Source organism: Homo sapiens, chromosome X, assembly GCF_000001405.40.
Source record: "Homo sapiens chromosome X, GRCh38.p14 Primary Assembly".
Classification (NCBI taxonomy): domain Eukaryota; kingdom Metazoa; phylum Chordata; class Mammalia; order Primates; family Hominidae; genus Homo; species Homo sapiens.
The window spans coordinates 42,680,504-42,694,230 of NC_000023.11; the positions used below are offsets into that span (position 1 = coordinate 42,680,504).

At 37.3% G+C, this 13,727-nt stretch overlaps 1 long non-coding RNA gene across 1 annotated transcript; it reads right to left on the reverse strand.

Moving 5' to 3' along the window:
• Window positions 1-1,045: 1,045 nt before the first annotated feature.
• On the reverse strand, window positions 1,046-12,273 carry LOC124905181 (uncharacterized). Its single transcript, XR_007068221.1, has 2 exons — window positions 10,716-12,273; window positions 1,046-2,288 (listed from the first exon to the last, which is right to left on the reverse strand). It is a non-coding gene; the product is annotated as an uncharacterized LOC124905181 (long non-coding RNA).
• Between the last annotated feature and the right edge of the window lie 1,454 nt (window positions 12,274-13,727).

Genomic DNA, 13,727 nt, shown 5'->3' on the forward strand with positions numbered 1-13,727 from the left:
TTCCCCTCAAGGCATTATTAATTACCTGATATTTCTGCACAGGCCTTTTGCGAACAGGTCAGAACCATATTTAGTGAAAAAGGATCCAGGTTTTATTAATGAAACTTTAGATATTTTCAGCAGAAAAGAAAAAAATATTTTTTTCCCCATTCACTTTTTTCTTTTCCCCTTTGCATTATATTGTTCATTTAAGGGTACAGAGGTTCTCTGAAGCCCCCAGTTCTTTTTTATTTAAGTAGATTTAGTCAAATTACACATAACAAAGACGACAAAGGCCTTTCTAATCTTCAGTGCTTTCTGCTCCTGGGAAAACTCAGGCCTTGTGTTCTTGTTTCCCTTTCCTGAGTCAGCGCTTGGCTAGTCCAAGGCTATGGGGCTCCAGGTCAGACAGTTAGAAATAAGCATAGAGAGATAGAAAAAACAACAGCCCATAGTTTAAATTTGAAAAGGAGCCTTGCTCTTTAGGTGGCAGCATAACTTTGTTGTTAACACAATTCTGGAGAGAAGGACTAGGGCTATGGGATGTCAAGAACATGAAAAACATGGTGTTTCTTTAACCCCACTTAAATTAATTGTGATGCTAAACTACAGAGTGGGATAATACCCCTCTGGCTGAAGAGATACCGAAAATATATAGGTAAGATTATAAAGTACTAAGGTTATTTTATGTACCTGAGTCTGAATCCCTGTTTCTTATTCTCCAAGGAAAAGTTTTCTAGTCTTTTGCTGATAGTGACATAAGCTTTATAAGTCTTTTAATTCTGATAGTCTTATTTTTTTTTCCATGTTTGTTTTTAGCCCTGGTGAAAATAGTCTCTAGTTAATGGTTAATATAGTTTTTAGATTACTTCCAACTAAGATATAATTTGATTATTTTTTTCCTTTGTAGGACAGGAAAAGGTGCAGTAACCTTTCTTACCCATCATAAAAATCACAGCCAACACTCTTGTAACAAAAGATAGGTTAACAAGAGAAAAGCATAACAAATGTATTTAATCAAAATTTTACATAACAAGGAAGCCTTCAGAAATGAAGACACAAAGACTCAGGGAAAATTGTCTACTTTTATTCTTAGTTTTCATGAAGAATGGACAACCATGTAGAAATATGATTCCACACAAAAAATGTATGATCTAATGGCAATAGACGGAGTGGGAAACCCATTAAGTCCTGCTTGTTTGGCTTCTCCTTGACCTCTGTGTAGCATTCCTTTCTCCCAGGTATGGGGCAGGACCCCTCTGGAATAAGGATCTTATGACCTGCTATCAGACAAGGTAGGTCAGAGAATTTCTTTATGGCCAGCTCCTACTGTTGTGCCAGACCTACTGACTCCAATAGGGATAGCACCATGTCCTAGAAGCGGAAGAAGAGAGGAGACCCGGAACCAGCAGATGACACATAGGGTTTACTGAGGACTTACATATGGGGCAGTACAGTGGTGGTGGGCTGGACTGAAAACCTGCTACCACCCTCCACCTAACAACCTCCATATAACCCAAAACAAAGGACCTTAATCCCCTATATGGCCTGCATTCCAAGGCATGGGCCAGGGGGTCATATGTCCTTCATAGACAAGGAGCGAATCTCTAGGTTTGCCACTCCTGGATTTCTTAGCTCAGAACTCCAAACACACATTCTTCTTAGACTTGAGGGTCTTTCTCAGGGTATGCTTAAGTTATTGCTGTCAGATGCATCTGCTATACACCTACACAGAAAGGTGGGGGATAGAGTGGCTTTGCTTCTGAGGCATTCCAATCTCCTTTAGTTCAAAGTACTCAGCACACTAAAGTGCCATAATTTGGCATGTCATTTTCTGAGCCCTGACACCTTCATTACTGTTATTGCCAAAATTTCTTGCCTCATCAACATGGCCAATTTTTAATTACATAGCTACATTAGATTCACCTTGTAATTTATTTTTGACCTGGTGGCCATCTGATTTAGAGTTTAGGTAGTAATATTTTATTTCAGGATTTATGAATCAGTTTTCTATTTGTCATCTCCCTGACTGTCGAAGTTCTTATGACCTTGACATGGCATTATTTTATGTACTTCCCCAGGCTGAAACTCCATCTTATACACCATTCTCCACTTTATGATTTCCTGTCTGTTTCTATATCCTGTCTACTGGCCATTCACAGGAACACTTCAAATCAATGTTCGCTTTGTGGACCTATGCAAATTACCATCCCATTTTCTTGACAATCTCTGCTCATGCAGCACCCATTCATGATGGTTTCTTGTCTGCCTTTTCCTGGGCTGCCTTAGAGCTTTTCCAAGTTCACATCCTATATTAAATAAAAGGAATATAAAATTAAAATCCCAATACAAATCATCCAAACTAAACATCTACCAATGAACTTGCAGGACTGTTTTACTTAGAGTATCATTTCTGCTTCAGGATCGCTCCATCTTTGATTCATTAAATGTGTTTAAGCAATAATTGCTACATTAGAATCTTTTCCTTTTGGTTGCTCTGTTGTAAGGCTCTAGAAGTTATGTACACTATGTGTAAATCATGCTGCACATGCATTCTCTTTCTTTACCCCAATCCCCATAATCTCAGTGTACCACATTAACAAAAGCATCCTAAAAAGGAATCCAAGAAAAATGTTACACATCATTTGATCAGTAAAGACCGTATTATACAGTCAAAGGGACATTAAAACAAACAACAGCAATGCTTAACATGCTGAGCACTTACAAGGTGCTAGGCATGTACAAAGCAATTTGCATATAGTTTAACTAATCTAATAACAACCTTAAAAGTGTGTAATTATAGAAATACAGAAACATATGGTTCTTGTTCTCCACTCTAGAGGGGAAAAGGCCAGCTGGCTGGCTCCTAGAGGAATTCACTACCTTTGTGAATTTCTTGAGAACCAGGACCTGGCTCTCAGTCTCATAGCCCTAAACACCTGATCAGCTTAGTGAATGTGGATTCATCTCTCAGGGGTGAATCATAAGCCAAGAAGGAATCACCATCAGACAAACCCAGTACTCAAACCCACATGCTCAGCATATGCATCAGTCAGGGGCTCAACAGGAGACAGATGGCATGCTGAAATTAGGATATTTGAGGGAGGGCTTAATAAAGGGAGTTATTTATTAATAATACAAAAGTGTGGGCAGGATTAGAAAAACCATACAGGATAGTATGGAACTGAAAGCTAGTAAAAATTTCTCTGTTTCCACCTAGGCTTAAGAATGGTAGCCCATTCTCTAGGCCTAAAGGAAAGAGGAGAGGAAGCAGTTTCAATGAGAGAGTCTTGGGGTGAGAGGGCCACCTTGACAAGAGCTGCAATCTTTAGTCAAAGAATTCAGCCAGCCCAAAGCAACCTTACAGGGAGGGAATTGTGAGAATTAATGGCCTGAAATCACTTTTCGTCTCCAGCCACGAGGTAGGGCTTTCTATTGGTGAAGTCCAACAAGAAGCCACAAGGCAAGACTTTTTTTAAGGCAGTCTATACAGGTCAGCTTCCTGGAGTAAAGGGCAGGGTAGAAAGGGTAGAGGGTAAATATGGACAGGCAAAGGGAAGTCTTTCAGCATTGAATATCTTCTCCTTAAGCCAAACCTGGGTCAGAACCCACTTCACAAATTCATCATGAATAATTACCACATTAGGGGTAGGAATCCTTAAAGTTAATGTAGTCGGCCCATTGCCCACTATAGGCAGACTATGTGAGAGGCCAGATCATATTTAGAAATTTATTGGCAAGCATGGACTCAAGGGAAACTAGGAGAATGGAGTGATTTATGATGTCAACCCCTGGGGACTGGAATGCTAAAAGCTATAAAGCCCTGTGGTGTCTATTGCTACATAACAAACTACTATAAAACTTAGTGACTTAAAACAATAAACAAGTATTTTTAATAATTCCGTGGGCTATCTGGGTGTTTTTTTTGGGGTCTGGCAACTTCTTTGAGGCTGGATGGTCTAGGATGGCCTCACTTAGAGGTATGAGGCCTCAGGTAGGATGGTTGGACAGCTGAGGACTCTCTACATGTAGGTTCTCATTCTCCAGGAGATTGGCCCAGGCCTGTTCGTGTGATGTAGGAATAATTCGCAGAAGCAGAGAAGGTAACCCCACTATGTGAGCACTATTCAAACCTCTGCTTATTTATATTTGCTAATATCCCATTGGCCAAAGCAAATCACATGGCCAAACCCAGATACACGGGTGGAGGAACAGACTCCACCTCTTGATGAGAGGACCTTCAAAATATTGTGGCTTTTTTTTTTTTTTTCCAATTTACCACACCTGTAACTCCACATTAGCAATGGTCTATCCTGTTGAACAGGAAACACTCAAAGTTTCTTCGCTTATACTCTTTCTCCCTAACCCAGTGCTTAGGCAATTGTATTTTGTGATGTTCTGCTATGTTTCTATGGTTGATTACAACCCCTACTGTGATTGCAGTTGCTACCAGTTCTTACAGCCATTCTGTGTTTTGAGAGCTATTGGGCCATGAGTCATTGTGTTGATGCTTAAGCTTAATTCTCAAACATAATTTTATTTTCCTTGTTTCTGATTTTTAGGAGACTCTTACATTTAGTCCCCAAGTATTAATAATATGCATTATTATTCTCATTTTACATATTGTGGGATTAGGAACACAGACCGTAGAGGTTGGATCAGAATCCTAGTCTAATAGAATCCACAGCCTGCTCTCTCTCTCTCTCTCTCTCTCTCTCTATATATATATATATATATATATATATATATTTATATACAGTTGCTTCTTAAAATTTACGTGAAAACACTTTCTAAATATAAAGGAGCATTGTCATCATCATCACTCTTATTAGGATTGTCAGTATTATTGAGAGTAGAGCCCCCCCCCCAGTCCACAGTGAGGTAACAGCATTACAGCAGACAATTTCATCCTTCTTTTTTTTTTCTCCTGAGCCAGCAATAAGCACTTCATAAAACTTACATAAAAATCAGTCTTGATTAGAAGGTTCTGAGTTAATGGTTTTCCATTCTATTAAATTGCCACTTATTCTTTTAAATTAGCTGTCATTTCAATAGGGAAGCCAATTGGTTGAGCAACCAGGCTATAGGGTGTACAGATTAAGCCATCTGTAGAGCAAGCATGTTTCATGCTCCCATTATATTCCATATAAAGGACAAGAACAGGCCCATAGTTTGCTGAATACTTAGTCCCTGCGTTCCAGAGAATTACTGTCCAGTTTAGGGCCATCAAATTAAATTTCATTATGAGTTACCTGAGTCAATATTCCTCTATATTCAAATAAATTGTAGGTCTCTTAGTGGCAGGAATTGAGATGTATACTTCTTTTGTGTAGCACCTAACACATAAGGCACATATTAAGTGTCTGAGAATATTGTTGATTGATGTATTGACTGAAGGCTGAGAGAAGTTATGAGTAGGGGTTGATGGGGAATAGTGGCTCCTTCTATAAAATACTATTGGGTAAACATTAATCCTTTGGATCAGGAAAGAATTAGGTTTGCCTGCACTAATGGATGCCCAAATCAGAGTAGCTTGCAAAATATAGGGAGTTTACTTTTATTTCACATACCATTAAATTTAGCAGTAGACAATAAAGAGGTGTGGAGGCTTTGTGGATGACATCAGTGACACCATCTCCTTGGGTTTTTCTGCTGCATCATCTCAAGCACAAGTATTTACAACATGCATTATCAATTTATCAGCATCTTACAACGCATATTTTGGGAAATGTTAATCTAAATGAAATCTTTCATTTTGCAAAATCAACAGAATTTAATTCAGCAAATATTTATTGAACAAACACTATATGTCAAAAAACTGTTTTTGAAGCCCAGGAAAAGGATAGAGAAGGAAATCAAGATCCTAAGAGGTGAAGCAACTTGAAAGTTGACACATCAAATGAATGGACTGAGACAAGGCTAGAGTCTGAAGCATGTTCCCTTCTTTTAACAAACATGACCAAGCCTCAAAGAATTACACAGGGCAGGCTTTCAGGCGTTATTATAATAATTCTCCCTTTTCAGGTTAGTAAATGTGGCTCAGAGATAGTGAGTAACTTGCCCTAGGTCACCCAACTATCCAGATATTGAACAGAAACTTTTTCCTGACTCATGTGACCCCAGATTTCTTAATTTTTTACTATAGCATGTTTGTTGTTTTCCTATTTCATCTTTGACACAGCAAAATATAGAAACTGCTTCAGGTATGGGAGGTGGCAGGCTTAAAGGAGTTCAGTTCTTAAGTTTCAGGTTAGTTCCTTGTCCTAGCAGGGAGCTCATGCAGGAACATGGAAACAGAGGCTTAGACATTCATGAGGTCAGTGAGCTGGCCATCTTTGATGGCAGTTGGCCCACACATTAGGCTGTACCCTGCCCATCTGAGGTTACTGCAGAAGCCAGATGTGTTAGTGTCAGACTATTTCAACATTCCTATTGTCGAGACAGAGAGAGAAAGAAAGAGAGAGAGAGAGAGAGAGAGAGTCTTCAATGCAAGACCCAGACATCATTTCCTTAAGCCCTGGGCAGGGCTGAACTTGCCAGATGTATACAGCAGTGGCTTCCATGAGTTTTCCGACACTTCTTTCATCATCCTTTCATTCCTTACTATATACTGTCTTTGTTGTACATGCCTTTTACATCCCATCCACCACCAAATACTTTCTAAGATTTCTTCTTTAGATACGTATTTTGAAGTGTTTCCTTTTTCTTTTCCATTACCAGTCTTCAATGATGCATTCTAAGATTACCATCGTGGAGAGATCAAACAGGAGACTGTCACCAGACTCTCACATTCCAGTCTCTTTCTCTGTCCTCCCGGAAAAATCTTTAAACCTTATGCTATTTCTATGTTCAAAATGTCATATATAATACCTAGCCTATATTAACATCCTTTACCAAATGTGGCAAAGACTCCTAGTGTCTTATCCATAATTCTTCTCCTCTTATTTTTTCATTTAAAAAGCCCTAGTTTTGTTCAGGTTAGCAAGGTACCTGGTTAAAACAATAACAACAACAAAAACATTACATTTGTAATACTTCCTTGAAAATATGGATTGCCTACCCATTACAGTAAGAAGAAAACACTGGATGAGCTCCTAGAAAAATCTATTTAAATAGGGCTAACTTAGCTAGGAAAGCTAGACTGTGGACTTGACTGATATTCCAGCAACCATCTTGTAATTATGAGAAGAATGGAATTCATGCACTAAGGAGCAGAAAGATAGAAGGCACTTGTCTCTGAGGACTTCATGGAGCTGCCATGACATCTCTGAATTCTAGAATTATTTTTGCTAGAGAAATAAGTCTAAGCCAAATATAGGCATTTTCTGACTAACCTCAATAATCCATCATAGAAAATAAGACATGATACATGAAAATGCTAATGATGTCTAGTTCCCATTATTTTAAATGAGAAAAATCATGGGTTTAAAGGTCAACGAAAACCATCTGACCAATTTCTTGAAACAAAACTAAAACACAGTAAATTGCCAATATGCAAATAACAATTGTGTTGATTTGTAAAATACTCAAAATATCACTTTCTAATATACAAACAATCAATACTGTTGTTAACAAACAATTGGACCTTCCACTTGCAGCCAAAATTGAGTAAGGAGTACCAGATTCACTGAACCAACCAAAACAACCAAAAAAGTACACAAAAATATATGAAACAACAGTTTTTAAGACATTAGACATCATGTAAAAAAGGACAGTGATTCCTGAGATCTGAGAAACAAATGAGGTAAACCCTACCATTGGCCCAGCTTACTAACTTCAAATAAATTCCAGGCTGAAGTACAGAGAAGAGGAACTGAGGCAGAGCCAGAAAAATTCCCTGAGTTGAGGAGATGTGGCTGAAGATCTGGCAAGAATCAATGACCTCAGCTTCAACCTTAAGAAACTGGAAAAATACGAGCATTATCAAAAGTAAACATAAGAAAAAAAATAATAAAGTTCAGACAAAAAAATGGACTAGAAAAGAGAAAAACAATAGAAAAATAATCATAAAACTATTAGTTGGTTTTTGGAGAAAATCAATAAAATTGATAAAACTCTTGCCAGGTTGATCAGGAAAAAGAGCTAGAGCTAGAGGTGGAGGTAGAGAGAGACAGAAAGAAAGAGAAGACAAATTATCAACATCAGGAATGAGAGAAATGATAGCACTATAGATTCTATAGATAAAGAACGTTATGAACTACTTTATGCAAATAAATTTGATAAATTAGAATAAATAGACACATTTTTTGAAAGGAACAAACTACCAAAACTCACAAAGAAATAGATAATTTAAATAGCCATATATCTATTTTAAATATGTAGTAAAAACTCTTCTCACAAAAAATCCTCAGAAGTAGATGCCTTCATTGGAGAGTTCTACCAAACATGTAAGTAAGAAATAACAATTCTTCACAAACTCTTTCACAAAATGGGTGACCATAAACAAGTATACAAGAAAATGCTCAACCTGATTAGTCATTAGGGAAATAAAAATTAGAACCACAATGAGAAGTATCTCATACTCCATACTATGCTCCATACATATTAGCATAGCCCAAATTAAAAGATAGACCAGGCCAGGCATGATGGCTCATGCCTGTAATGCCAGCACTTTGGAAGTCCTGAGACGGGAGGATCACCTGAGCCCAGTAGTTTGAGACCAGCCTGGGCAACATAATGAGAAACCCTGTCTCTACAAACAAAACAAAATGAAAAAACAACCATTAGCCAGGTGTGGTGGCACATGCCTGTATTCCCAGCTATTTGGGAGGCTGAGGTGGGAAGATCACTTAAAATCAGTAGTCTGAGGCTACAGTGAGCTATGATCACACTACTGCACTCCAGCCCAGGTGACAGAGTGAGTGAGACCCACCCCCGCCAGCCCCCTCCTCTCTCTCTCTCTCTCTCCTCTCTCTCTCTCTCTCTATACATATATATAATATATGTATATGTATATATGTATATATACATATACATATATACACATATATATACACACACATATATATTTTATATATATATATATATATATTACTTCTGGTGGGAATTTAAAATGGTACAACCACATTGGAAAACATTTTTTGTTGTTGCTGTTATTTGAATAGCTTTAAAGGTACTAGTAGTTTTTGGCTACATGGATGAATTGTATAGCAGTGAAATCTCAGCTTTTAGTGTACCCATCACCCCATTGGTGTACGTTGGACTCAACAGGTGATTTTTCATCTCTCGACCCCCCACCCTCCCCACTTCTGAGCCTCCAATGTCCATTACACTATTCTGTATGCCTTTGCAAACCCATAGCTTACCTCCCACTTATAAGTGAGAATATGCGGTATTTTGTTTTCCATTCCCGAGTTACTTTAATTAGGATAATGGCCTCTAGCTCCACCCAAGTTGCTGCAAAATACATGATTTTATTCTTTTTTATAGCTGAGTAGTATTCCATGGTGTGTGTGTGTGTGTGTATGTATATATATATATATCACATTTTCTTTAGCCACTCATCTGTTGATGGGCACTTAGGTTGATTTCATATCTCTGCAATTGTGAAATGTGCTATGATAAACATATGTGTGTAGGTGTCTTTTTGATATAATGACTTATTTTCCTTTGCGTGGATACCCAGTAGTGGGATTGATGAATTGAATGGTAGATCTACTTTAGTTCTTTGAGAAATTTCTATTCTGTTTTCCATAGAGGTTATACTACTAATTTACATTCCTACAAGCAGTGTATAAATACTGCCTTTTCACCACAGCTGCACCAATATCTATTGTTTTTTGACTTTTTAATAATGGCCATTCTGGCTGGGATAAGGTGGTATCTCATTGTGGTTTTAATTTGCAATGGAAAACATTTTTGATGGGTTTTTAAAAAAAGTTAAATATACACCTAGCCATATGACCCAGCATTTTACAATAGGTATTTACCCAAGGGAAAAATAAGAGTATATGATTATGCAAATACTTGTATAGGTAGATCATAGGAGCTTTTTTTTTTCATAATAGCCAGAAACCAGATATAACCCAGATGTCCATCAGCTGGTGAGTTAAATAATCAATTATGAAGTATTTATATAATGGAATACTACTCAGCAGTAAAATGGAATGAACTATTGATATACAGTGAATCTCAAAATAAATATGCTGAGTGACAGAAGCTGGACAAAAAAGTGTATATTAGTATATATCGTATGATTCTATTTACATAACATTCTACAAAAGGCAATTTAATTTATAGTGATAGATAACAGATCAACGCTTTTCCAGGTAGGGAGGTTTGGAGCTGTGAGGGAAATGAGGGAGTTATTCTAAAGGAACACAAGGAGACTTTCAAAGTGATGAACATTTTTATTGTTTTGATTGTGGTTTTGGTTTCATGTATGTCAAAATTACCAAATAGTATACTTTAAACAGTTGCAGGTTATCATATGCCAACTATATCTCAATAGAGTTGTTTTTTAGAAAGCAATTGTTTTATTTTCAGTTTCTCAACTTTTCCTAGCATCAGTAGCATGATAGCTTTACATCCCCTTTGTCATCTCTTTTCAAAATGTCTGCTTCACATATTATGACATTTTACCAATTGTATTTGGAATGTTTCTTGAAACTTCCCTGACACATTATTTTGTTTTAAAATGTTACAAATGTTTAGATGTTAGAAATTGTCTTAATATAATTTTTACTATAGAAATATAAGGCAAAAAATGATCTACAAATGCAAGGTATAATACTTACATTTATAACTTGGGTTCAGCAGAAAGCAGAGCTGAGGCTTCTGGAGCTATTTGCTTGCACTTTATTAGGGATACAATTCTGGGGAGCAGGAGAGAAACAAAGAGAGTGGAGCAGCTAAAGGAGAACAAATACACAATTGTGCTGTTGAACTTACTGTTGCTAAGTGCAGCAGAATGCTAGATTTGTGAAACTCGGCCTCCAAGAAGCTATCTCTATAAAGTACATTCAAGGACTCTACTGGGGGCAATATGTGGACAAAAAGGAAGGATTTATCCACTGGTTCCTGTTTCCCACTGGCCAAAGGTTTACTCCACAGGATATTAATTTGTCTATACTTCTGGATTATGTAGGCCAGGGTGAGGGCACAGGGCAGTGAACCAAAAAGAGAGGCTTTAGGAGCAGGCAGGAGGCGATGACACTCTCTGCTTGGGACTGTGTAAAGAAAAGCCCTCATTGAGCTGCCTGCCACCACAAAAGCTGAAAAAATAAAGAAAGAAAGAAAGAAAGAAGAAAAAAAGAAAAATAAAAAGAAAAAAGGGAAAAAAGCGTGAAGCTAAGAAAGAGGATCTGAAATGATGCAGCAGAGATATCTGAAACATGTATGTTCTATAGCTATTAAGAACAGCAGTAAGCCTAAAACAAAGTTTTTTTTCTATGTCCTAGGTATCATATGCAACCTATAGCTCATCCTATTTGACATATGTATCCTACTAATTTGTTTTACGTGAGTACACTCTTAATCATGCTTGTGGCACTCATCTCTGAGGTACACTAAATTTACTTGGATCACTTTTATAAACCATTGACATCTGTGCTCCATCACACAGCAATCAAAACAGAACACCTGAGATGGGCTGAGTATCACTATTTGTAAAGACTTCCAAGTGATCCTAATGTGTAGCCAGGGTAGAGAATCATTGAATCACTTCAGTCTCCCAGGTGTCCACTGTATGTTCCATGTTTTTACCAATTCCAAATACTATTCACACCTTCACTACTTAATAGAATGCTACTTTCTTTCTCTAAGTTCTACCCATTATTCAGAGTTCATTTTAAATCTTATCTCACCTACATATCTTTTCCTAACCATTTTATCCTTCATGGTTTTTCCCTTATTTGACTCCATCATCTGTATTAGCAAAGCATCTTCTATATCCACCTTAGCAGTCTGTAGTAAAACCCTTTTTTATTTCTTTCCCAACTTAATTGCTTTCCTCTTACCTTCAACTTTTGGAATCCTCAATGTTAACACACACATGTTCTCAACACAAAGATTTCAGGATAAGATTCCCCTGAAAATTGTGTTAGTTCTGTTTATTTTGAACAAGTTCAATGGGGCCAACAGATTTTAAGATGGTCCAATAATCTCTGCTTTTGTAAGTCCATGTCCTTGTATAATCCTTTCCCCTTGAATGTAGGTGAAATCTGTGACTTGCTTCTGACCAAAAAAATATGGCAAAGGTGATAAGATGTCATTCCCATGATTATGTTTCATTATATAAGGCTCCATCTTATTAACAGTCTCCTTCAATTACTGGTTTTGAAGAAGTTTCTATGAATTCTACAGTCACAAAGAATACACCCTGGGAGAACTTGGAAGTAAATAATTCCTCACTTAAGCCTCTGATGAGAACCCGGTCTGGCTGATACTTTGATTCCAGCCTCGTGAAACCCTAAGCAGAGGACCAAGTTAAGCAGTGCTCTGACTTTGGACTTACTAAAACCAGGATATTACATGTGTGCTGCTTTAAGCCATTAAGTTTGTAGTAATTTGGGACATAGCAATAAAAAATTAATACATACTTTGGTACTAGAAATGGGATGCTTTTTATCTGAAGTGGAATTCTGTTGTAAAATACCTAAAAATGTAAGAGTAGCTTTAGAATTGGGTGGGTGCACACTGGAAGAATTTGGAGAACAACGGAGAAAGTATAAATTGCCTTGAGTGGACTGTTAGTGGAAATCTAAAATTGAAGCATGCTCCTGGTAAGGGTGAGAGCTCAGAAGAAGTGAGGAATAAGCCATTGAAAACTGGAGGAAAGAGAAACTCTTGCTAAGTAGAAGAAAACTCAGAATTGTCTCCTGCATTTATATGTAAAGCAGAACGTGTAAGTGATGAACCTGTTTATCTAGTTAAGGAAATTTACAAAAGAAGTATTGAAGGTGCTATCTCGTTTCTTCTTGTTGCTTACAATAAAATGTGAGAAGAGAGAAATAAATCAAAAGAAGAACAAAAATGAACAAGAACTTGATGATTTTGAAAATCCAGTCTCTTCAAATGGCAAAAAGTTAATGGCTGAAATTAAGATGGCTTGGTCTAGAGAAAAATTTGACCATATGACTCTACAACTTTTCACTAAAAGTTCAGAAAAATCAAAATATCAGAATATTCAGCCACACAAAGGACGCTTTCAAGAGATTAAGGGAGTGGCTCACAAATCTTAATCTGTAGGGCTTTCGTGCTCTGGTATAATCCCTTCCCCTTGAATGTTGGTGGAATCCGTGATTTGCTTCTAACCAGTAGAATATTGGAAAGGTGATAGATTACCACTCCTATGATTGTGTTCTGTTATATAAGACTCCATTTTGCTAGTAGTCTCATTTTCTTCATTGCTGGCTTTGAAGAAGAAAGCTTTCATGAATCCTACACATACAAGGAAATGAATTCTGCCAACCTAAGGGAGCTTGAAAGTAGATCCTTCTTCAGTCAAGCTTCTGATGAGAACTCAGTCCTGATAAACATCTTGATTGGAGCTTTGAGAGACACTAAGCAGAGGCCCCCACTAAGTCGTGCCCAGACTCCTGACCCACAAGAACTGTGAGATAATAAGCATTAATTAAGTTATTAAAGTTGTGGTAATTTGTTATGCAGAACTAGAAAACTAATACAGTCTGACTATTTATTGCTATATTTTAGTCACCATTTCTAGTCACTAAGCAAGAGGTAAATTATGAGATTATAGTTGCCTTCCACTTTTAGACATTTATTTTCATTTCTGTCTTATCCACAAT